General features: G+C 53.0%; 1 protein-coding gene across 21 annotated transcripts, besides 2 other annotated features; it reads left to right on the top strand.

Annotated features, from left to right (window-relative positions):
* Positions 1-173: part of a silencer, noted in NCBI's record as "silent region_13401", that runs on past the window's edge. NCBI's record gives its function as "represses an Ori minimal core promoter by ATAC-STARR-seq in GM12878 lymphoblastoid cells {active_cell/tissue: GM12878}" and the evidence as "EXISTENCE:reporter gene assay evidence [ECO:0000049][PMID:35858748]".
* POFUT2 (protein O-fucosyltransferase 2) lies at positions 100-24,060 on the top strand. Of its 21 annotated transcripts, none has more exons than XM_011529504.4 (11): positions 100-254; positions 2,067-2,317; positions 2,667-2,726; positions 4,468-4,612; positions 5,057-5,191; positions 5,536-5,646; positions 9,826-9,892; positions 10,853-10,978; positions 17,976-18,156; positions 20,282-20,405; positions 22,360-24,060. In XM_011529504.4, exons 1-11 carry the CDS (start codon positions 124-126, stop codon positions 22,511-22,513), a joined length of 1,485 nt encoding a protein of 494 aa, XP_011527806.1. In that variant the 5' UTR covers positions 100-123; the 3' UTR covers positions 22,514-24,060. The 21 variants fall into 21 exon arrangements, 19 of the variants coding, with proteins under 19 accessions (XP_011527806.1, XP_047296680.1, XP_047296678.1 ...); XM_047440724.1 differs by lacking the exon at positions 22,360-24,060 and adding an exon at positions 21,768-21,973; XM_047440722.1 differs by lacking the exon at positions 22,360-24,060 and adding an exon at positions 21,435-21,761.
* Positions 7,235-8,434: an enhancer, noted in NCBI's record as "MED14-independent group 3 enhancer chr21:46699476-46700675 (GRCh37/hg19 assembly coordinates)". NCBI's record gives its function as "activates an origin of replication core promoter dependent on BRD2, BRD4, P300/CBP and CDK7 cofactors, and independent of MED14, by STARR-seq in HCT116 cells {active_cell/tissue: HCT116}" and the evidence as "EXISTENCE:reporter gene assay evidence [ECO:0000049][PMID:35650434]".

The raw sequence follows: 24,060 nt of genomic DNA, 5'->3' as shown, positions 1-24,060 counted from the left end.
TAACGCATGCGCGGGGAGGGCGGAGCTGGGCGTTGCCGTGGCTACTGGGAACGCATTTCACGGGGGCGGGGCGTGGTTCCGGGGCGGGGCGCGGCCGCCGGAAGTGCGTGGCCGCCCGGGGCCATGGCGACACTCAGCTTCGTCTTCCTGCTGCTGGGGGCAGTGTCCTGGCCTCCGGCTTCTGCCTCCGGCCAGGAGTTCTGGCCCGGACAATCGGCGGCCGATATTCTGTCGGGGGCGGCTTCCCGCAGACGGTAAACGCGCGTCCACGGTGCCAACGCTGGGGTTCCAGGACCGGGCAGGGTCAGAGGATGGGATGGGGGCGGGGCGGGGTCAGGGGCCAGGGAGATGGGATGGGGTCAGGGGCAGGCCCACGGGATGGAGGGTGGTCCGGGGCCAGGGAGATGGAATGGAGCGGAGTTATGGGGCAGGGGCCAGGGGGATGGGATGGAGCGGGGTCAGGGGGCAGGGGTCAGGGGAATGGGATGGGGTCAGGGTTCTGGGGCAAGGAATGTGGCGGAGTAAGGGGCCAGGGTGATGGTATAGGGGCAGGGGGCAGGGGCCAGGAGGGATGGGATGGGGGCGGGGCAGGGATCAGGGCGATGGGATGGGATGGGGGCGGGGCAGGGGCCAGGGTGATGGGATGGGATGGGGGCGGGGCAGGGGCTAGGGCCAGGAGGGGTGGGATGGGATGGGGGCAGGAACGGGGGCCCGAGGGATGGGATGGGGGCGGGGCGGGAGCCGGGGCCAAGAAGGATGGGACGGGGACGGGACAGGGGCAGGGGCAGGGGCAGGGGCCGGGGCCGGGCTGGAGTCTGGGGGATGGGATGGGGCGGGGGCTGGGGGCAGGGTCGGGCCAGCGGGTTGGCTGTAGTCGAGGCTGCGTCACTGCGGCCCGGGTCTGCAGGCGGGGTCGTCTGCGAGGCCCGGGGCGCAGCCTCGGGAGCCCAGGAAGGGGGCCGGGTTGCTCAGGCTGAGCGTGGGCTGGCTCCGGAGGCCCCTGCAAGTGACACGGGTCCAGGCCTGGGTGTGCGGAGCCGGGAGTCAGTGCCGGGCGGGCGCTCCGCAGTGAATTCTCAGGGCCAAGACGAGCTTCGCGGCCGCCCTGTGGCTGTGGGATCTCCAAGCGGACCCCGGGAGGGGCCTGGACGCAGAGGTGTGCACGGCCCCTCGTGGCGTTCGCAGGCCTGGGCGCTGCACGCAGCTTCACTCGCGACGATGGGAGTATGGAAAACCAGCGCAGAGCAGGGAAAGGAGAGCGCCAGGGACAGGGTTTCTGTAGCCCTTGGGGACTTGTCTGTGCCTTGGGGACTTGTCTGTGCCTTGGGGCGCTTTGTGTCCTTCCTCTAGGGCAGTGATCTTAAAGTGTGTCCTGGATCTCTGAGCTTTTGTAGCCGTTTTAATAGTAGTACCAGAGTATTATACGCCTTTTTCACTTCTCATGAATGCACTGTGGAGTTTTCCTAGAAACCACTTGATCTGTGATGTCACAACAGATTGAATGCAGAAACGGGTATGGGAATCCAGCTGTCACCAAACCCAAAAGAGATTTGCAAAAATTAAGAACATCATCACAGTTCTTCTAATTCATTTTTTAAAATACACTTATTTTTTATTTAAATATGTGGTTTTTGTTAACATGTAATGGCTTCTTATTTTTAGCTGAATTAAATACTTGTAGCTTTAACGTCTAACATAGGACGTATCAATAGACATAGTGCACATAACCAGCCGTCAGTCATTGTTTCCAGTGTAAAGGGGTCTTTAAACCAAACAGTTTGAGAACCATGTGGGTACTGATTCTTGGGTTCCAGTCACTGGGATTCCTCTGCCTTAGTGTTGAACTATTGCTAATTGTTAAAACGATGTTAGCATGTCTGCTGCTTCTGCTTACAGGCTCCGTAAGTAACTGGTCATAGAGAAACAGGCCACTCACTGCCTTCACAAACTAGGAACCATTGTTAAGTGCCTAGAGTCGGGCCACGCGCTGAGACTTGTGAGCAGTCGGGTTTTCCGTGCAGAAACCTCAGCATTTGAGACCTGTGGTCCTCCTTCTCCCTGCTCAGGTATCTTCTGTATGACGTCAACCCCCCGGAAGGCTTCAACCTGCGCAGGGATGTCTATATCCGAATCGCCTCTCTCCTGAAGACTCTGCTGAAGACGGAGGAGTGGGTGCTTGTCCTGCCTCCATGGGGCCGCCTCTATCACTGGCAGAGTCCTGACATCCACCAGGTCCGGATTCCCTGGTCTGAGTTTTTTGATCTTCCAAGTCTCAATAAAAACATCCCCGTCATCGAGTATGAGCAGTTCATCGCAGGTGAGGCCGAGCGGCACGCTGGGAGGCCGTGGTTGCTTAACTGGGGCCAGGCAGTCATTTCTAAGGTAGACATCAGGTTGGGCTTACGATTGCATCCAGCCTCACCAGCATCCTCCAGTGCCCAGTGCTGCTGCCTGAGGCCTGTGGCAGCACCTCCTCCGTTCAGGAGCACAGTCCCTTTCCCACGCTGCAGTGAGCTTCCCAAAATGTTTCTCGGAAATGGACCTGAAGTGGATGAGCTTTGTGCCCCCTCAGTTAGAGCCGCCCTTACACCCTAAGAAAGCGGCCACCCCTGGGTGTTATAGTGACAGGACTCGGCTCCCTGTGCGAAAGGCTGTTTTACGTTCAGGAAGACGCACTGCGTGTGGAGTATGCTTCGTGGTGTCTCAGTGCAGCGCCAGGGATAAAGGTCTGTCTCGTTTAATTTTGTGTTGCTTAATCTTTTCAGTTAATTTTAAGAGAAGAATTAAAGCTCTTCTTAGAATGAAGGTATTTAGAGCTTTTTGTGTTGCGTTGTTTGGAAGAGATAAAGGTAAGTGATGCTTTGCTGCTGCACTTGAGAGGCCTTGAAGACGAATGAGTTAGTTTTGAGTCAGGCTCCTGCTTTCCAGCATCTGTTGAGTTCTTACTCGACAGCCACTCTCGGGGCTTAGAGACCTTTGCTCCCTGCCAAGGAGTGTGGCTCCCGTGTCATCATTTTTCAAGGATGTGGTTCTCGTTGCACCCTAGATCTTGTCACTCTGAAATGTTTTCTGTGTCAAGGTCAGTCTTGTGAGTGCTAGGGGCATGCAACAACAGGCGGTAACCTCCAACATCCTTGTTGATACCAAGTCAGAAAGTCTGCTGCTTGTAAAAAGCATTCCTGGAGTGCGTCCTTTCCTGAGTTGACTTTAAAATTTGCTTGTGAGTCCTGGAAGATGAAAGCTGTGGTTGGGTATTGGGTCTAACTAGCAGCCAGCCCTCGGTCTGAACATTGGGTTATAGGAACCCAGAGATGCTATCCTTACCTCCCTTTGGTACCAGTGGGTTTCCTGACAGGGAAGCGGACAGGTCTGGGCCTTGGGCATCCAAGTGCTTGGGAAGGTCTGGGAAGACAGATGCTGTGTAATGAGCTTCTGAGGCACATATGCTGGTCTCACGCTTACCTGCCATCCACCAGCCTGGGGCTTTGCTGAGCTGTTTCCTCGCCTGTGAGGTGGGGAAGGAACTGGGTGCCTGTCCTAGGGCGAGGCTGCCAAGAGACTGCACACGGTGAGCTCCTGATGTGGCTGACATAGCGCCCAGCGTGCAGGATCTTCACCACCTCCCACTAGCCTAAAAGAAGCCCCCGCAGCTGTGGCCTCAGGCCCTTAGGCCACGCAGCCCTTAGCCCCCAGTCATGAGTGAGCAAAAAGGATACCAGAACTTCACCTTCGCGATGCTCCCTCCCGCTTTGTTCCTGCCCCAGAACTTCACCTGCGCGATGCTCCCTCCCGCTTTGTTCCTGCCCCAGAATTTCACCTGCGCGGTGCTCCCTCCCGCTTTGTTCCTGCCCCAGAACTTCACCTGCGCGGTGCTCCCTCCCGCTTTATTCCTGCTGCCTTTGAGCAGATCTTAATTGCTGACCTCTTGGGCGTCACAGTGCCACCTTCTTGGTGCGGGTCGGGCCGTGGGTAAGAGGCACGACTCCTGCTCACCTGAGCCTCTGTCCCCGGGGGAGGCAGGACACCAGTGCAGTAGATGGTGGCCGAGGGGGTGAGGAGCGCTGTGGGAAACCAGGGGGGTAGGGGACAGTGGCCTCACAGAGGGCCGGAGGGCGAGCCCCCAAGGGGAGTGGTCCTGGCAGGGAACAGCCTGGACCACGGCGTGAGGGCCGGATGGGCTCACACGGGCCCCTGTGAGGATGGGGCCTGCTGCAGCCAGGCAGGGGTAGGGCCGGGGAATCGGGTACCAGCTCCACACCACCCCCCGCCAGCTGCAGTTGCACGCTGATGGCCCTGTGCCCTCATGGCATGTGCTCTGCCCTGTCTCTGCTTTTGTGAGCCTCCTACACTCCCTTTGGGAATAGGGTGGTGTACAGTAGTAAGAGTCAGCTGCTGGTGACTGATGCATGCCCGTAAGTGAGCTTCTGATCGCTGTCACACTGCCTGGCTTTTCTTGGTGTCTTTCAGAATCTGGTGGGCCCTTTATTGACCAGGTTTACGTCCTGCAAAGTTACGCAGAGGGGTGGAAAGAAGGGACCTGGGAAGAGAAGGTGGACGAGCGGCCGTGTATTGATCAGCTCCTGTACTCCCAGGACAAGCACGAGTACTACAGGTGCCTGCTGAGGCTGCTCCCCCTGCCGCAGGTGCCCCCCCACCTCCCCCTGCCGCATGCGTCCCCCCCCCCCCGCCTCAGGCGCCCCCCGCCCACTCCTCCCCACCACCGTGGGTGCCCCCCGCCCCCCCTGCAGCACCCCGCCTCCCCCCGCCACGGTGTCTTCACCCCCCACTCCCCCCGGCCGCAACCGCCTCCCCCGCAGTGCCCTCGCTGCCCATGCTGGTTGCTGATGCAGGGTTCTGGGCGTCCCCTCCTGGGCATCCTGACAGTGTTGCGGCGGCCCTTGTGGTGGTAGCGCTTGTGGCTGCCCACACCGTTCCTCGTCCTTGACAGGCGGTTCCCCTTTGTGCTGAGGCCTGGAGAATGGGCCGTGATGAACATCTGGCTGAGACCCCGTGCCTCTTTCCCTGTGTCTTTTCATGCATTTGGATGTTGCCACAGGGATGGAGGTCTTGTCAGTCCCAAGTGTCGATTGCCATTAAAGGCTCTGACACTACCAGGCCTCCTGTGGAAAAGCTGTCAGTTAACAGCCTCCATGTGTCCAGTGCCAGGGCAGCTGGCTCTAAAGCATGGCAGGTGAGCTCTTGGGAAGGGCGCGGTTGACTTGGCTGACGGTCACAGCCAGGCTGGCCCTGAAGGTGCACAGGGCTGCCTCTGTCCGGCTCCCTCTGCCTCCCCGGCCATCCCGCCAGCCCCTATCATGGGGAAAGCCTCAGTGGTCCATCAGCCTGAGAGACACTCATGGGCTTCTTTTAAAATTTTACTAGAATGTCACGATCTGCAGTCACGATCAGTAAGTTTTCCTAAAGCAGCCGCGTTTCATCAGGAGCAAGCCACAGTGTGTGCGTGTCTAGACTTGATTTGTTTTCCTTGTGAAAGCAAAATAAACTGATAGAGCTGCTGTGGGTTTTGTTTTCCAGAGGATGGTTTTGGGGTTATGAGGAGACCAGGGGTCTAAACGTCTCCTGTCTGTCCGTCCAGGGCTCAGCCTCCATCGTGGCGCCCCTGCTGCTGAGAAACACATCAGCCCGGTGAGTGCCCCAGGCCCCCCGGGAGCAGCCTGGAGGCTGTGGCGTCTGCTCCGTGCATGCTGGGCTGGGGGCTCTCCGCCCATACTCCCGCATCCCTGGCCCACCCACCTCACAGACAGCGGACCCTGGGGGCCCTGGGGGGTGGTGGTTAGGGAAGTGCTTGCATGTGTCTCTGCGAAACAGCCCAGTGGGTGCAGTGGGTGACGTGGACAGCGGGTGAGGGGCACAGAGGTGAGGGCTCGGCCCGGCCAGGTGCACAGGGAGGGGCTGAGCTGGGCTGGGGGCGGCGGGGAGCTCACCATGAGACTGTTCTCGATTTGTAGCACTTGGGCAGCTTTTACCAGTACCTCCCCCCTCCCCACACCCAACACCCACTGTTTGATCTGTTTTCTGCCTCACGGGTCTGGGGAGGATCATGCAGCCACCTTTGGCCATGCGTCTGCCTCAAGTGGTCGCCGGCCTGGTGAGCTGGGCCTCGAGGGTCCACCCAGGAGGCTGGGGTTGCAGACAAGTCAGTACCTGATGATGTCGTAAACTCTGGAGGGAATTGTTGATGGCCACGTTCTTAGAACTTGCTGCAGACTGGGACCCTCTCCGTCACCTCCCTTGGGTCTTCTGAATCCCCCAGCAGGCACTGTGAGCGTCTCCCATAGACCAGGCATAGCAGGGCACGGGTGCCCCTCGCACTTGCCCACGTTGAGGCTGCCTTGTCTGCTGTCGTGCCCTGTGTGTGCCTCTAGAGGCCATCAGCCACGATCCTGTTGCACATCACAGCTGGCTCGGTATCACCCTGGTCAGTAACAGCTGCCGCTGGCCCCAGCGGGCCGGGACCACATGGTCTCAGCTGCTCTGGGCCTTTGTGAAGGCAGGTGGCTCCATCACAGGCCCGCGTGTCTGCTGCTCAGCCAGCCCGGCTGTTGCAGACAGAACTCAGAGGTTGTGGAGGGAGCTAGGCTGAATTGTTTTGGTTGTTGAGATGCAGCTTTAATGTTGTCCTGGGACTGGGTTCATTTCATGACAATATTCGGGTTTTGGAAGCCAGTCTGCCTACGTTTGGGGCCTGTGGAACAGTCTTGCCAGTCAGTTTTTTTGACTCACATTTACAGGTTAGAATGGAGCTGAGCCCAGAGGGGGCTTCCAACTAGATGGTCCTGATTTAGGAGAAACGCTTCTGCCGGGGAGCAGGGGGAAAAGGCGCAGTGGAAAAGGAGGCTGATGATGGGCGGTGAGGTCATCTGCCCCCAGCACCCAGGGAAAGTCTCTTCCGGGGGTTAAAGCCCTAATGGGAAGGTGAAGCTATCAAGCCGTCAGGAGAGGAGCCTCACCACCGTGGGGCAGAAAGCTTTCTTCAACAAGATGGGAAAAGCATGGACCAAAAAAGAAAGATTGGTAAAGCCAGTTACTTTAAAATCAAGAACTTTTGTCCATTAGAAAAATGGAGACAGGCCTCAGAGAGGGAGGTCCTGCAGCACATTTGATAAACTAAGGACTCTCTGGGATACAGGAGACGAAACTCAGCGAGTGAGGGACGGGCAGCCTGGGGTGAGGCGAGTCCAAGACGGGATCCGTGCAATTGAGACGAAACCCAGCGAGTGAGGGACAGGCAGCCTGGGGTGAGGCGAGTCCAAGACGGGATCCGTGCAATTGAGACGAAACTCAGCGAGTGAGGGACGGGCAGCCTGGGGTGAGGTGAGTCCAACACAGGATCCATGCGATTCAGGAGTAAGGACAGCTGCTGTTAATGCGAGCAGGTGCCCCCATTGCTGTCATGCTCGGGAAACCAACCGCTGTCGGGAGGACAGGCCTGCAGGGGCTCAAAGGCTGCTCCTGGAGCAAGAATCTGGTAAAACCCTGGGAACCCAGTGCACCCTGAATGCGGGACATGCACCCGCAGACCCCTGCCCAGGAACGTTCATAGCCTCCCCGGACCAGGAAAACACGTGCACCCCTCAGCCACGCACTGGATAGAGTGTGGTAGATCCACAGCTGAAGATGGGCAACCTGCTGCCGTGTTCAACAAAGAGAAATCAAGATATAATGCCCAGTAAAAAAAAAGAAAAAGATAAATGTAGTCATGTTCCATGTGCATGAAGGTCAAAGACAGTCCCGTGCATCGGAGGGAGAGATGGGAGGATGCCGGGGAGGCCCCTGAGGACGGGGCAGAGCAAGTGTGTGAAGCGCTTTCTTCCTCCTTGTTCCTCCACCCGGGTGGGGGCTGCACCGTGTTCATTTTGGAGCAGTTTGTCTACCTGTGCCCGTGCGGAATGTCCTCTACCCGCGCCCGTGTGGAATGTGCGTCTTGAAGTGCAGTATTGCATTTCATAAAAAGCCCTTAAAACGGCATTAGAAGCAGGGCCGGAGGCACCCACTGAATCCAGCTACACCCATCTCTCCAGAAATCGCCTCACATGGCCGCCTGTGCATGCAGCCATCTTTTGAAACACACGTGGAATCACCACACGTGCCCTCTCCATGCGGTTTTCAGTTTGCCCTTTCTTCCCACCCAGCCATTCACCTGGGTATTACGACACATGGACATCACCTCGTTCTTTTGCAGTTGTCTGTGTACAGATGGAAGAAAATGTGGCTTTTGGTTGTTTCCAGGTTTCTGTAGAAGAGTCTTTGTGTGAACCATGAGGGCGTAAAACTGTAGGATGCCACCCAGAAGAGGATGGCTGGGTGTGCCCTTGGTGCAGTCCTCAGAGTCCCCGCAGTGGCCGTGCACGGCTGGTTCCCAGGCAGCCACGAGGGCCGAGAGCTTCCATCTGTGTGGATCCAGTAGCAAAATGTGGAATCCTTGCTCTGTTCGTGTGTGTTTCTTTGATTTCAGAGTAAAACTACACTTTAAAAGCCTTTTGAAATGTTATTCTATAAAATGCCAACTTAGATATGTTGCTCATTTTTTCTCTGTAGAGATTACATTTTTTTGTTTGTTTGTTTTTTGTATTTTTTTTGAGACTGAGTCTTGCTCTGTTGCCCAGGCTGGAGTGCAGTGGCGCGATCTCGGCTCACTGCAACCTCAGTCTCCTGGGTTCAAGCGATTCTCCTGTCTCAGCCTCCCAAGTAGCTGGGGCTACTTGTGGCATGCACCACCGCGCCCGGCTAATTTTTTTGTATTTTTAGTAGAGACGGGGTTTCACCGTCTTAGCCAGGATGGTCTCGATCTCCTGACCTCGTGATCCGCCCACCTTGGCCTCCCAAAGTGCTGGGATTAGAGGCGTGAGCCACTGCGCCTGGCCAAAATTAAAATTTTTATTTTTCCTTAAAAATTTCTGCGTTTTTGTATTCCAGCCTTTACCACCCCAATATTCAGGTCTATTTGCTCACGGTCCATTTTGTGTGTTTCGTTTTTATTTTGCATCAAGAGCCCTGGGGGGAGTTTGGTGAGACGGTTGGCTCAATGGCTGGAATAGGAGAGGCACTTCCCACGTGGAATTAGGTAACGTGACAGTCACAGGCACCAGGATGACTTGTCAGACCCAAACTGGAGCAAGGAAGGCACTGAGGAGGAGGCACCTGCCTGCGAGTCTGAGATAAAGGCCAGCTGGAGGGCTCTCTGAAATAACCCCAGGACGTTCCTCACGTGCTTCACGCACCTCACCTTTCACAGCCGCTGCTTCAGTCGTGTGCCCGTGTTCCTGGGACTAGGTTTGCCACCGGACAAGGGTTGCAGTAATTCGGACGAGACGCTGTGGAAAGAATGCCTGCCCAGGAATGGCGTCTCTACCACGGAACAGATGCAGCTCCGGCTTTGAGCTCGAGTCAGTGAATTTGTTTCCAGGCAGCTTATGTGAACCTCTCCTTTTTGTCAAAGAAAACCTTCCCCCACCCTCCCCTCCTCAGGCACGCCTGCAGCTTGCCATAGCCGTCGGTGGATCCTGGATTCCAAGCCTTTTGCCCACTGTCAAATACACTCCTCAAATTAGGAGATACTTTTCTCTGATGTCATTCTGTTCGTTGACAGTAGGCATTAAAGCCCTCTCAGAACCGTGGTGTGGAGGCCAGACAGCAGCCTGCCTGTGTCTCAGCCATAACCACCCAACGCGCCCTGGTTAGTGTCCCTCGGAGACTTGGTCTCTGCTTCCTCGGCCCGGGGTTCTCCCAGTTTGTGCTCTGAGAGTGTGAATGTCATCATCCTTAACTCTTATAACTGTTTATTCTTCTGTTGTTTAAAAACAGGTCCGTGATGTTAGACAGAGCCGAGAACCTACTTCACGACCACTATGGAGGGAAAGAATACTGGGATGTGAGTGTTTCCTCGGGAGCGTTTTTCTCAGTTAGTGTATGTTGCCCATTATTTAGCTTTTGAAAATTTAAAACAGTCGACAGCTCTTTTTGAACCTTGCTGATTAAAACCATCATTTTAAGCCATGGATTTGGGCAACTGCGGTGACTGTGCCACCCCCAAGCCTCACGTGGCTGCAGAGCCAGGTCCTCGGGAGCCCGCAGGGCCACCCAGCTCTCCCCTCTGATGCCACAGGCCCTGAATGCGGTGGCAGCGCCCTGGAGTCAGCCCCGGAGTCAGTGACTCCGTCAGTGGCTGGAACGTAGACCCCTCCTTTCTCCTCTCTTTAGCTTTGAAAGGTGGGACTATTCTCTGCAGCGGGTCTTTTCCGTTGGCGTTGATTTCCGCATTGATGGGGTGACTTCCCATAGCCACCCCTGGTTCTGTGAGTGAGTGGGAGCAGAGGGCGGGAAGTGGCTGCCCCCTCCCGTGGACACAGCAGGCCTGCTGACGTGTTCACCAGGGCAGCAGCTTGTAAAGCCGGAACCTGCCTGCAGGAGACACAGTCCCTGCTCACGTGGGACTTTGTGCAGGTCAGTCCCACCCCGTTTGGCAAAGCAGGATGTGCTAACCGCCTAAGCTAGAAGTCGAGTTGGGGAGAGACTGAGGGGAAGGAGCTGCACACAGTTGTGCCAGCCAGGGGCAACGGCCAGCTGAGCCCAGTGTGTGCCGCAGCTTCCCACGGCAGGGGCTGGCAGAGCCGGCAGGGGTGGGCGGCTTGCCCTGCGTTGGCTTCATGCAGGAGACCCTCCAAGAGCCTCCACCGTGGATGGCGCTGCTTCTCAGGCGACCGTGGATGACGTGTCTGAGGGGCTTGTTCCAGCTGCGGGGGTGGGTGGTGGCAGCGACAGGAGAACCCGCTCCGGGAGGGCTGCGTGGCGGGCGGGCGTGTTCTCAGCCGAGCCGTCGCCGTTTCCACAGACCCGTCGCAGCATGGTGTTTGCCAGGCACCTGCGGGAGGTGGGAGACGAGTTCAGGAGCAGACATCTCAACTCCACGGACGACGCAGACAGGATCCCCTTCCAGGAGGACTGGATGAAGATGAAGGTAGCCCCCCTCCCTTTTGTTAATTAGAGAAAAGGTAAAGTCTCTCTGGAGATGCCCCACACTCAGGCCTTCCATGTAAAGTCACAGCAGGGTTGGCGTGTCTGTGGGCGTGGATGCCTCGGCGCCTCTCTGGAATGTGAGTCACAGTAATGACCTGCTCTCGGGAGGCGCCGGGACCCTGGGGCCCTCGTCATGTGCAGACTCAGGGAGTCACTCGGCCTGGCTTTACCTTTAGTAACACGGGCAGTCATGGCAGGCCCAGCGGACTCAAAGGTGTTCTCAGAGCGCGGCAAGGCCAGGAGCGCGGAAGCAGGAGCTCGAGGTGGTCAGAGGCACGTTCGGCCTTTTTCCCTCTTGACTTGATTGATAAAGAGAAAAAAGCAGCGTTCACCTGGACTCACCCAAAAGCACCATCAGTGCTGTTTTGGTCTAGAATCATCCTTTTCTTATTCTTTGTATATATTTTTAAGTGTTTTCTGAAAGTTTGAGTTTTTCTGTGATGTAATTTCAACAAATGTGTTGCTTTTTCAACTTGATATTGTTTTTAAGCATTTTCAGTGTCTGTTTTTAGCGTTTTTTAAACAAAACTTTCATAGAAGTGCCATTTTACTCGCTTGTTCTTTATGGGGTATTTGAGCTATTTCCAAGTGGAATAGCATTCATTGTTCCAGCAATAATTAAGTTACTTGGACAGTTTTTACTGGGGAAAAAATATAGAAGATTTTTTTTCATTTTTATCCCACTTGTGTTTCTTTTCAGTGTTTTTTTTTTATTCTTTTTAATTTTATTTTTAATTTTATTTAATTAATTTGTTTTTGTTTTCGTTTTGAGACAGAGTCTCACTCTGTCGCCCAGGCCGGAGTGCAGTGACACGATCTCAGCTCACTGCAACCTCTGCCTCCCGGGTTCAAGCAATTCTCCTGCCTCAGCCTCCCGAGTAGCTGGGATCACAGGCGCGTGCCACCGCACCCGGCTAATTTTTGTATTTTGAGTACAGACAGGATTTTCCCATGTTGGCCAGGCTGGTCTCAAACTCCTGACCTCAAGTAATCCACCCGCCTTGGCCTCCCAGAGTGCTGGGATTACAGGCGTGAGCCACTGTGCCTGGCTTATTTTATCATTTTTTTTTTTTAGCCTTAATCATTTTTGGGGAGCAGGTGGTGTTTGGTTACATGGATAAAGTGGTAGTTTCTGAGATTTTGGTACACCCATCACCCGAGCAGTGTACACTGTCCCCAATGTGTAGTCTTTTATCCCTCACCCCCTCCACTCTTCCCCTCGAGTCCCCAAAGTCCATTGTGTCATTCTTATGCCTTTACATCCTCATAGCTTAGTTCCCGTGAGAACATACAATATTTGGTTTTCCATTCCTGAGTTACTTCACTTAGAATAATGGTCTCCAGCTCCATCCAGGTTGCTGCAAATGCATTCATTTCGTTCCTTGTTATGGCTGATGTACCACATTTTCTTTATCCACTCATTGGTCAATGGGCATTCAGGCCGGTTCCATGTTTTTGCAGCTGTGGATTGTGCTGCTATAAACATGCATATGCAAGTGTCTTTTTCATATAGTGGCTTCTTTTCCTCTGGGTAGATACCCAGCAGTGGGATTGCTGGATCAAATGGTAGTTCTACTTTTAGCTCTTTAAGGAATCTCCACACTGTTTTCCACAATGGTTGTACTAGTTGACATTCCCACCAGGAGTGTCGCAGTATCCCTTTCACTGCATCCGTGCCGACATCCATTATTTTTGGGTTTTTAAATTATGGCCATTCTTGCAGGAGTAAGGTAGTATCCTGTTGTGGTTTTCATTTGCATTTCCCTGATCATTAGTGAAGTTAAGCATTTTTTCATACGTTTGTTGGCCATTTGTGTATCTTGAGAATTGTCTATTCCTGTCCCTAGCCTATGTTTTGATGGGATTATTTGTTTTTTCATGCTGATCTGTTTCATTTCCTTGTAGATTCTGGATATTAGTCCTTGGTCGGATGCAAAGTGTGCAAGTATTTCCTCCCACTCTGGGAGCTGTTCGCTGATTGTTTCTTTTGCCGTGCAGAAGCTTTTTAGTTTAATTATGCCCTATCTATTAATGTTTGTTTTTGTTGCATTTGCTTTGGGTTCTTGGTCAGGAACTCTTTGCCTAAGCCAGTGTCTAGAAGAGTTTTTCTGATGTTATCGTCTAGAATTTTTATGATTTCAGGTCTTAGATTTAAGTCTTTAATCCACCTTGAGTTGATGATCCAGTTTCATTCTTCTACATGTGGGCTGCCAATATCCCCACACCATTTTTGAATAGAATGTCCTTTCCCCACTTTATGTTTTTGTTTGCTTTGTCGAAGATCAGTTGGCTGTAAGTATTTGGCTTTATTTCTGGGTTCTCTTCTGCTCCACTGGTCTAGGTACCTATTTTTATAGCGGTACCATGCTGTTTTGGTAACTATAGCCTTGTAGGATAGTTTGAAGTTGAGTATTGTGTACTTCCAGATTTGTACTTTTTGCTTAGTAGTTTTGCTTTGGCTATGTAGGCTCTGTTTTGGTTCCATATGAATTTTAGGTTTTTGTTTTTTCTAGTTCTGTGAAGAATGATGATGGCATTTTGATGGGAATTGCACTGATAGATTGCTTTTGTAGTATGGTCATTTTCACAATATTGATTCTACCCATCCATGAGCATGGGATGTATTTCCATTAGTTTTTGTTGTCTATGAATTCTTTCAGCAGTGTTTTGTAATTTTCCTTGTAGAGATCAAGTTTTGTGGGTTTTTTTGGTTGTTTTTGTTTGTTTGTTTGTTTGCAGCTGTTGTAAAAGGAGTTGAGTTCTTGGTTTGATTCTCAGCTTGGTTGTTGTTGGTGTGTAGCAGTGCTACTGAGTTGTGTACATTGATTTTGTGTCCTGAAACTTTACTGAATTCATTTATCAGATCTGGGAGCTTTTTGGATGAGTCTTTAGGGTTTCCTAGGTATACAATTATATCATCAGTGAACAGTGACAGTTTGACTTCCTCTTTACTGATTTGGATGCCGTTTATTTCTTTCTCTTGTCTGATTGCCCTGACTAGGACTTCTAGTACTATGTTGAATAGAAGTGGTGAGAGTGGGCATCCTTGTCTTGCTCCAGTTCTCAGGGTGAATGCTTTCAACTTTTCCCCCGTCAGTATAATGTTGGCTTTGGATTTGTCATAGATGACTTTTATTATCTTGAGGTATGTCCCTTCTATGCCACCTTTGCTGAGGGTTTTAATCTTAAAGCAATGCCGGATTTTGTCAAATGCCTCTTCTGCATCTATTGAAATGATCATATGATTTTTGTTTTTAGTGCTGTTTAGGTGGTGTGTCACATTTGTTGACTTGGATATGTTAAACCATCCCTGCATCCCTGGTATGATACCCATTTGATCATGTTGTGTTATCTTTTTGATATGTTGTTGGATTCGGTTAGCTAGTATTTTGTTAAGGATTTTTGCATCTATGTTCATCAGGGATATTGGTCTGTTGATTTATGGAGGATTCCCTCTTTCTCTGTCTTTTGGAATAGTTTCAGTAGAATTGATACCACTTCTTCTTTCAGTGTCTGATTTCAGCTGTGAATTCATTGGGTCCTGGACTTTTTTTGTTGGCAATTTTTAAATTACTGTCTCAATCTCACTACTTGTTATTGGTCTGTTCAGAGTTTATATTTCTTCCTGGTCTATATCTAGAAGGGTTGTGTATTTCCAGGAATTTATCCTCTTGATTTTCCAGTTTGTGCGCATAAAAGTGTTCATAGTAGCCTTGGATGATTATTTTGTGTTTCTATGGTATCGACTGTAATATCTCCCGTTTTGTTTCTAATTGACCTTATTTGGATCTTCTCTCTTCTTCATTAATCTCACTAATGGTCTATCAATGTTGTTTATCTTTTCAGAGAACCAGCTTATTGTTTCATTTAACTTTTGTATTTTTTTGTCTGTTCATTTCAATTTCATTTAGTTCTGCTCTCATCTTGGTGGTTTTCTTCTGCTGGGTTTGGGTTTGTCCTTGTTTCTCTCATTCCTTGAGGTATGACCTTAGATTGTCTGTGCTCTTTCAGATTTTTTGATGTAAGCATTTAATGCTGTGAATTTTCCTCTTGGCACCACTTTTGCTGTGTCCCAGGGGTTTTGATAAGTTATGTCAGTGTTATTGTTCAGTTCAAAGAATTTTTAAATTTCCATCTTAATTTCATTGTTGACCCAAAGATCAGGAGCAGATTATTTAATTTCCATGTGTTTGTATAGTTTTGAGGGTTCCTTTTGGATTTAATTTCCAGTTTTACTCCACTGTGGTCTGAGAGGGTACTTGACATAATTTTGATTTTCTTAAATTTATTGAGGCTTGTTTTGTGGCCAATCATATGGTTTATCTTGGATAACGTTCCATATGCTTACGAACAGAATGTATATTCTGCAGCTGTTGCGTAGAATGTTCTGTAAATATTTTAGTCCACTTGTTCCAGGGTATAGTTTGAGTCTATTGTTTCTTTGTTGGCTTTCTGTCTTGATGACCTGTCCAGTGCTGTCAGTGGAGTATTGAAGTCCCCACTTATGTTGTATTGCTGTCTATCTCATTTTTTAGGTCTAGTAGTAATTGTTTTATAAATTTGGTAGCTCCAGTGTTAGGTGCATGTATAATTAGGATTGTGGCATTCTCCCGTTGGACTGATCCTTTTATCATTATATAATGTTCCTCCATCTTTTTTAACTGTTGTTGCTTTAAAGTCTGTTTTGTCTGATATAAGAATACTACTGTACTCGCTTTTGGTGTCCATTTGCATGGAGTATCTTTTTCCACCCCTTTACCTTAAGTTTGTGTGAGTCCTTATGTGTTAGGTCAGTCTCTTGAAGACTTTTGCCTCACAGCTTTCAGGTGGATTTTTTTCCATTCTGCCATTCTGTTTCTCTTAAGTGGAGTCTCTAAGCCATTTACATTCAACTTTGGTATTGAGGTGTGAGGTACTGTATTCTATTCATCATACTAGTTGCTGCCTGAATACTCTGTTTTCTTTCTTTTTCATTGCGTTGTTTTATATGCCCTGTGAGATTTATGCTTTAAGAAGGTTCTATTTTGGCGTATTTTGAGGTTTTGTTTCAAGATTTAGAACTTCTTTAACATTTCTTGTAGAGCTGGCTTTGGGAGTGGTGAATTCTCTCAGCATTTGTTTGTCTGAAAAAGATGATCTCTCCTTCATTTATGAAGCTTAGTTTTGCTGGATATAAAATTCTTGGCTGATAATTACTTTGTTTGTGGAGGCTGAAGATAGGACCCCAGTCCCTTGTAGCTTGTAGGTTTCTGCTGAGAAATCTGCTGTGAATCTGATAGGTTTTCCTTTATAGGTTACCTGGTGCTTTTGGCTCACAGCTCTTAAGATTCTTTCCTTCATCTTGACTTTAGATAACCTGATGACTGTGTGCCTAGGAGATGATCTTTTTGTGATGAATTGCCCAGGTATTCTTTGAGCTTCCTGTATTTGGATGTCTAGATCTCTAGCAAGACCAGGTAAGTTTTCCTCAATTATTCCCTCAAATAAGTTTTCCAAACTTTTAGATTACTCTTCTTCCTCAGGAACACCAATTATCCTTAGGTTTGGTTGTTTAACATAATTCCAAATTTCTTGGAGGCTTTGTTCATTTTTTTTACTATTCTTTTTTCTTGTTTGTTGGATTGGGCTAATTTGAAAACCTTGTCTTCGAGCTCTGAAGCTCTTTCTTCTCCTGTTCTAGTCTATTATTGAAACTTTCCAGTGTATTTCGTTTCTTTAAGTGTGTCTTTCATTTCCAGAAGTTGCAATTGTTTTTCCTTTAAGATACCTAGTTATCTGGAGCATTTTTCATCCATATTGTTGTTGTTGTTTTTTTTTTAATTTCTTTAAGTTGGTTTTCACCTTTGTCTGGTATGTCCTTGAGTAGCTTAATAATGAACCTTCGGAATTCTTTATCTGGCAATTGAGAGATTTCTTCCTGGTTTGGATCCATTGCTGGGGAGCTACTATGATCTTTTGGGGGTACTATAGAACCTTGTTTTGTCATATTATCACAATTGCTTTTCTGCCTGCTTCTCATTTGGGCAGACTACTTCAGTGGAAAGATCTGGAACTCACGGGCTACTGTTCAGATTCTTTTATCCCACGGGGTGCTCTGTGGCGCTCTTCGCCTTCCCCTAGGGATGGGGCTCCCTGAGAGCTGGGCTGCAGTGATTGTTATTGCTCTTCTGGGTCTAGCCACCCAGTGGGGCTACCAGGCCCTGGGATGCTGCTGGGGAATGTCTGCGGAGAGTCCTGTGCTGTGATCCGTCTTCGGGTCTCCCAGCCATGGGTTCCAGCACCTGCTCTGCTGGAGGTGGCGGGGGAGTGAAGTGGACTCTGGGGGGGTCCTTGGTTGTAGTTTTGTTGAGTGCACTGGCTTTCTCGAATGCTGGTTATGCTGCAGTGAAGTTGTCACGTGGACAGACTCGGGACCTGTGGACAGCCAGGAGGTTGCAGGTGGTGGGATTAGCTGTTGCTTTCTCCTTCCTTGGAGCAGGGTTGTTGGTTAGAATTTGCTGTAGCCATTTGCGTTGGTGGCCTCCAGCCAGGAGGTGGCACTGTCAAGAGGGCAGCAGAGCATTCTGGCTCCCGGGGAGTTTGCAGCTGTGAGCTGCTTTGTCCACAGGATCCGTGAACTCTTTGTGGCACGTCCCTGCGGTGGTTCTCGGAGGAAAAGTTCACAGCGTGAGCCTCCACATGCTGTTCTCTTTTTAAATATTTTTCTTTACCTCAGATAAAATGATTTCTGGTAATTAATACTGCTTCACTGTCTTCTTAGAAAGACATCTGGTCGCCCCCGAGATTCCACCTGAATCCCTTAGACAGCCCTGGAGCCACCCCGTGGAGGAGGCCACATGGAAAGGGTCATCCCTCTGCGTCTCGAGTCCCACCCGGTGCCCAGGATGAGCCCCGAGCCCGCCTGTCAGCTTCTGCATTTCCTTGTGGTTCTTTGCTAGGTCAAGCTGGGCTCCGCGCTAGGGGGCCCCTACCTGGGAGTCCACCTGAGAAGAAAAGATTTCATCTGGGGTCACAGACAGGATGTACCCAGTCTGGAAGGGGCCGTGAGGAAGATCCGCAGCCTCATGAAGACCCACCGGCTGGACAAGGTGTTTGTGGCCACAGATGCCGTCAGAAAGGGTATGGAGCTTCAATGCTTTCGTTTCTTTCCTTTCTTTTAATTTATTTTTTTTATTGATAATTCTTGGGTGTTTCTCACAGACGGGGATTTTGGCAGGGTCATGGAACAATAGTGGAGGGAAGGTCAGCAGATAAACAAGTGAACAAAGGTCTCTGGTTTTCCTAGGCAGAGGACCCTGCGGCCTTCCGCAGTGTTTGTGTCCCTGATTACTTGAGATTAGGGATTGGTGATGACTCTTAACGAGCATGCTGCCTTCAAGCGTCTGTTTAACAAAGCACATCTTGTACCGCCCTTAATCCATTTAACCCTGAGTGGACACAGCACATGTTTCAGAGAGCACAGGGTTGGGGGTAAGGTCACAGATCAACAGGATCCCAAGGCAGAAGAATTTTTCTTAGTGCAGAACAAAATGAAAAGTCTCCCATGTCTACTTCTTTCTACACAGACACGGCAACCATCCGATTTCTCAATCTTTTCCCCACCTTTCCCGCCTTTCTATTCCACAAAGCCGCCATTGTCATCCTGGCCTGTTCTCAATGAGCTGTTGGGTACCCCTCCCAGACGGGGTGGTGGCCGGGCAGAGGGGCTCTTCACTTCCCAGTAGGGGCGGCCGGGCAGAGGCGCCCCTCACCTCCCGGACGGGGCGGCTGGCCGGGCGGGGGGCTGACCCCCCCACCTCCCTCCCAGACGGGGCGGCTGGCCGGGCAGAGGGGCTCTTCACTTCCCAGTAGGGGCGGCCGGGCAGAGGCGCCCCTCACCTCCCGGACGGGGCGGCTGGCCAGGCGGGGGGCTGACCCCCCCACCTCCCTCCCAGACGGGGCGGCTGGCCGGGCAGAGGGGCTCTTTGCTTCCCAGTAGGGGCGGCCGGGCAGAGGCGCCCCTCACCTCCCGGACGGGGCGGCTGGCCAGGCGGGGGGCTGACCCCCCCACCTCCCTCCCGGACGGGGCGGCTGGCCGCCCGGGGTGCTGACCCCCCCACCTCCCTCCCGGACGGGGCGGCTGGCCGGGCGGAGGGCTGACCCCCCCACCTCCCTCCCGGACGGGGTGGCTGCCGGGCGGAGACGCTCCTCACTTCCCAGATGGGGTGGCTGCCGGGCGGAGAGGCTCCTCACTTCTCAGACGGGGCGGCCGGGCAGAGACGCTCCTCACCTCCCAGACGGGGTCGTGGCCAGGCAGAGGCGCTCCTCACATCCCAGATGGGGCGGCGGGGCAGAGGCGCTCCCCACATCTCAGACGATGGGCGGCTGGGCAGAGACGCTCCTCACTTCCTAGATGTGATGGCGGCCGGAAAGAGGTGCTCCTCACTTCCTAGATGGGATGGCGGCCGGGCGGAGATGCTCCTCACTTTCCAGACTGGGCAGCCAGGCAGAGGGGCTCCTCACATCCCAGACGATGGGCGGCCAGGCAGAGACACTCCTCACTTCCCAGATGGGGTGGCGGCCGGGCAGAGGCTGCAATCTTGGCACTTTGGGAGGCCAAGGCAGGCGGCTGGGAGGTGTAGGTTGTAGCGAGCCGAGATCACGCCACTGCACTCCAGCCTGGGCACCATCGAGCACTGAGTGAACGAGACTCCGTCTGCAATCCCAGCACCTCGGGAGGCCGAGGCTGGCGGATCACTCGCGGTTAGGGGCTGGAGACCGGCCCGGCCAACACAGCGAAACCCCGTCTCCACCAAAACCAGTCAGGCGTGGTGGCGCGTGCCTGCAATCGCAGGCACTCGGCAGGCTGAGGCAGGAGAACCAGGCAGGGAGGTTGCAGTGAGCCGAGATGGCAGCAGCACAGTCCAGCTTTGGCTCCGCATGAGAGGGAGACCGTGGAAAGAGAGGGAGACCGTGGGGAGAGGGAGAGGGAGAAGGAGAGGGAGAGGGAGCACGTTTCTTTCCTTTCTTCTTGATCCCTGGTTCTGTTCTGGGTAGACCTGGAACTACCCAGATCCATGAAGATCTGCATGATCTTCAACTGTAATTCCTGGGAGGGTAAAGCTGAGTTGTGTGTCTGCACCTTTGGAGCCAGTTCCTAACGAATTAACCAGAAGCCAAGTACGCATGTCTGTCTGCTAAAGAGTCACGTATCTGTCCTTACTGGAGGATCCCGGTTCAAAGGGTCTCTCCTTCTACTTTGCAGAATATGAAGAGCTAAAAAAGCTGTTACCCGAGATGGTGAGGTTTGAACCCACGTGGGAGGAGCTGGAGCTCTACAAGGACGGAGGCGTTGCGATTATTGACCAGTGGATCTGCGCACACGCCAGGTGCCTGCCCACGTCACTGTCGGCCGAGAGCGGGTCGGGTGGCTTTCAAAGGTTCTTCTGTCCCAAGTACTCGGTGTCAGAGCAGATGGTCGCCTGTGTTCACAGTGGTCATTTCCATACTGTTTGCCTCCTCGTCTGAGTCTCCTGTAGCATCTGGTTCAGTGTTTCCCTGGGCTGAAGTTAATTGTTCATCTTGCCCCTTTAGTTCTCATGCACAGAATTCCTCCATAGCAGGCTGTTGGCATAGCTGGCCTCGTCTCAGAACCTCTTCTTGTGTCGCATTTTCCCATCATTCCCGGTTTCTGCCCCTGTCTGCCCCCTGCCCTGAGAGTTGCCCGTGCCCTGGACTTGGGCATGTCCTTGTTGCTGTGTTGTTGAGCATCCGTGAGCGTCCCCGAGGCCGGGAGCGTGGGCCCTCGTGTGATCATTCTCGTGGGGCTGCCATGAGCGTCCCCAAGGCTGGGAGCATGGGCCCTCGTGTGATCGTTCTTGTGGGGCTGCCGTGAGCGTCCCCGAGGCCGGGAGCGTGGGCCCTCGTGTGATCATTCTCGTGGGGCTGCCGTGAGCGTCCCAGAGGCCGGGAGCGTGGGCCCTGCGTGCAGTCATTCCTCTGGGGTTGCTGTGGGAGGTACGCCTGGGCCTCTGTTCCTCCAAAGACCTGCCTGCCCATCTGCATAGGAGATGAAGGCTGGGGTTAGGGTGAAACGGTTTGAGTTAAATGGAAAATGAAAGTAGAGGGAATGATCTTCCCCGTGGTTAGCACTGTGCACACGCGTGCGTCTCTGTGGGTTAGTCTGTCTCTCTCCTGCCCGAGGAATGCTGAGCGCCCTGAGCCGGTGCCTCTTCACACATCTGCTATTTCCTGTGGTGTTCTGGGCATGGTGTGTAAGACCCACAGAGGCTCCGGGTGATGCTGTCTGCTGGGTGTGGGTCCCTTTCCCTGTTAAGCAGACAGGATGCAGCGCTGACTTCTTAGGTCAGGGCGGAGGTGTGCAGGAGCCCAGTTACGAACTCACCCCTGCTTCTCAGGTGTGGCCTTGGGATTTTGACTGCGACCTTGGCGGTGCTGTCTCCGCAGCCCAGGAAGCCTGCTGTGGGGAGGCTTCGCACTGAGCTCTCAGCCTCCTGCCCTCAGCTGCGCGAAGCGCTCGGCCCAGCTCACTGAAGCTGCCCTGCCTCCGGGCCGGCGCGGCCTGCTCTGGCAGGCCCCTGTGTGTGGGGTGGTGAGGGTCTCCCCACCAGTGCTGCACCCCGCAGCAGCATACAGGCCTGTGTGGCCTGCTGGCCCTGTGGCTCTGTGTACAGCGCTGTGCATGTTACATTTGCTCTGGAAACATCTCTGGGGTTTGCTTGTTCACGAAGTTCATGAAGTGCCGCTGGAGAGCCAGAGACCAGCTGCGCAGGAGCCGGAGGAACGGGCAGGCCGCTGACCTGAGGTCTGGAGAAACCCCTGGAGAAGGGTGTCCCCACCAGCCCATACAGCGTGTGTGTGGAGGGGGCCTTGACCTCCGTGATGTCTACTGTGCCTCAGGATAAGGACCCGCCATGCCCTGGCTAGACAGTGTGTGGTTAGTAGGAATCTCTCATTGTTCACCATGTGACCCCCAGGAGGTATTCGACCTGCACTGGCGTGCCTGGCCTGGGATTTGGTGACGGAGAGGAGGGCTCCCAGGGGGACATGCGGTGGGACAGGAGCGTGGCGGCTGCTGACTGTGGGGTGTGGATGGGGCTGCAGCACCAGGCAGAGCCCCTCAGGGCGCCGATGTCGAGGGCACCTGAGCGAGGGGTGCCAGCAAGGGGGCGGCCGGCTGGTGGGTGCTCGGGGGACGGCCGTGTTGGTTCCATGTAACTGTGGAACTCATTTCACTCAGCTGCTCCTCTCAGTTCTCCCTGACTCTGGAACCTCTGTGACGCCAGTTCTCCCTGACTCTGGAACCTCTGTGATCCTTTGCAGGTTTTTTATTGGCACCTCAGTCTCAACATTTTCTTTTCGGATTCATGAGGAAAGAGAAATCCTGGGGTTGGACCCCAAGACGACGTACAACAGGTTCTGCGGAGACCAAGAGAAGGCGTGTGAGCAACCCACCCACTGGAAGATCACCTACTGAGGAGGATCCTCCAGGGCCGCTCCCCGGACCCGACAGGCGCGGGTGGATGCAGGTTCTGTCGCCGTGGAGTCACCGTCTACTGCCAGCCGGGAGCTGGGCGGACAGGACCGTCCCTCGCAGGGTCCCAGGCCCAGAAGAGGCCCCACGCCTCTAGAGCTGGGCTCCGTCCTCGGCGTTGCCAGCCGCCATGGCTGATGAAGAGGCTCCGCTGCTCTCGGGGGTGGCGGTTGTTTTCAGGCAGCGTCTGTGAACCCACAGCTCGGTTGCCAGCAGTGCCCGCGTGGTGACCCAGAAGCAGGAGTGTTTGTCAGGCTCCCGCTCTGGCCTTTCCAGCCACCTTTCATGTCTTCATATTTTAAGTGCATTGAGGATAGATGCAGGCGGGTGAGCTGCCCTCCGTCAGGTGGACCCGGGCTGACATTTCCCTGGGAGCTGGTGCAAGGAGAAGCGTCATTTTAAATGTCTGCAGAGCGACCAGGGGCCTCATGAATCTCTCCGTTGCCCTCCGCGCAGCAGGAGGCTGCCTGTGTGTTTCCTCCTGGGATGCGTGCAAGGCAGACCTGGTGCTGCAAAGGAAAGGGCCTGAGGCCTCAGGGAGCCCCGTGGAGGGATGACAGTTCAGGCCCTACTGCTGGCACGTCAGAGCACTGGGAAGTTTTTCAGTGACGTCTCTGGGGCACTCAGTGGATTGTCTGTAGGAAACTTGCAGCTCTGCTCCTCACACCAGGCCCGGCTGGCCACCCACCCTCGCCCCCACTGGCCACCCCTCCCTCGCCCCGACTGCCCCGCCCCACCCTCACCCCGACTGCCCCGCCCTCGCCCGGCTGGCCGTCCCTGCCCTCGCCCCGGCTGGCAGGTGCACATGGGGCCTCCAGGTCTGCCATTCGCTATTGAGAACTAGAAATGAGGAAGGACAGTTACGCTAACTCCAAAAGGCTGTCTAGGATGAGCTGCTTTATCAGGGAGCTCCTTGTACCCATTTTACAGAAATCATTTTTAGGTCTTTGTGCCACCACCACGAGGGGCATCTGCAAAGAGGGCAACGCTAGACACAGAATCCGTGGAAGGTGCAGCAGTGCCTCAGGGGTCCTCAGGGTCAGGGAGCCCCCCTCACCCTCTTGGCCCGTTACCCTTTGTGACTTTCCACCATGGTGTCGTGTGACCCTCAGTCAGGTTGGTGGGGGCTGAGTCCTCACTGAGCAGCCACTTTCCACATCTGCTAGAGGAACAGTGACATGGACACCTGTGACAGAGAGAGGACAGTTAGGAGGGACAGACAGCTCTTCCTTTCGGAGCCTGGCTAGTCTAGGACATCACCTTGCTGTGTCTTCTCAAGCTTTTAAAATTGACCCTGAACGTGTGACAGGGTCCTATGGTGTTACTCAAAGCTGTGCAGGGTAAATGATGACATATTTATTCTTTTTCCATTTGTTCTAGAAACAGTGCCTTTTTCATCAGTTGCATTTTCCAGGCTGAGAGCTGTATAAAACATTTTGGACTGTGACCATGTACCTTCCTTTTTAAGAAAAATAAACTGCTTTATGGAA

This window comes from Homo sapiens, chromosome 21 (genome assembly GCF_000001405.40).
Source record: "Homo sapiens chromosome 21, GRCh38.p14 Primary Assembly".
NCBI classification, from domain to species: domain Eukaryota; kingdom Metazoa; phylum Chordata; class Mammalia; order Primates; family Hominidae; genus Homo; species Homo sapiens.
This window is presented reverse-complemented; position numbering and strand designations above follow the sequence as displayed.

What these genes read in the sequence shown, in the direction of transcription:
- POFUT2 (XM_047440721.1), top strand. Translation starts at nt 124, where the DNA reads ATGGCGACACTCAGCTTCGTCTTCCTGCTGCTGGGGGCAGTGTCCTGG. An exon ending in CACAGATGCCGTCAGAAAGG is followed by an intron (nt 18,157 to 20,281) that starts GTATGGAGCTTC and finishes TCTACTTTGCAG; the next exon opens with AATATGAAGAGCTAAAAAAG. An exon ending in TGGATCTGCGCACACGCCAG is followed by an intron (nt 20,406 to 22,359) that starts GTGCCTGCCCAC and finishes GATCCTTTGCAG; the next exon opens with GTTTTTTATTGGCACCTCAG.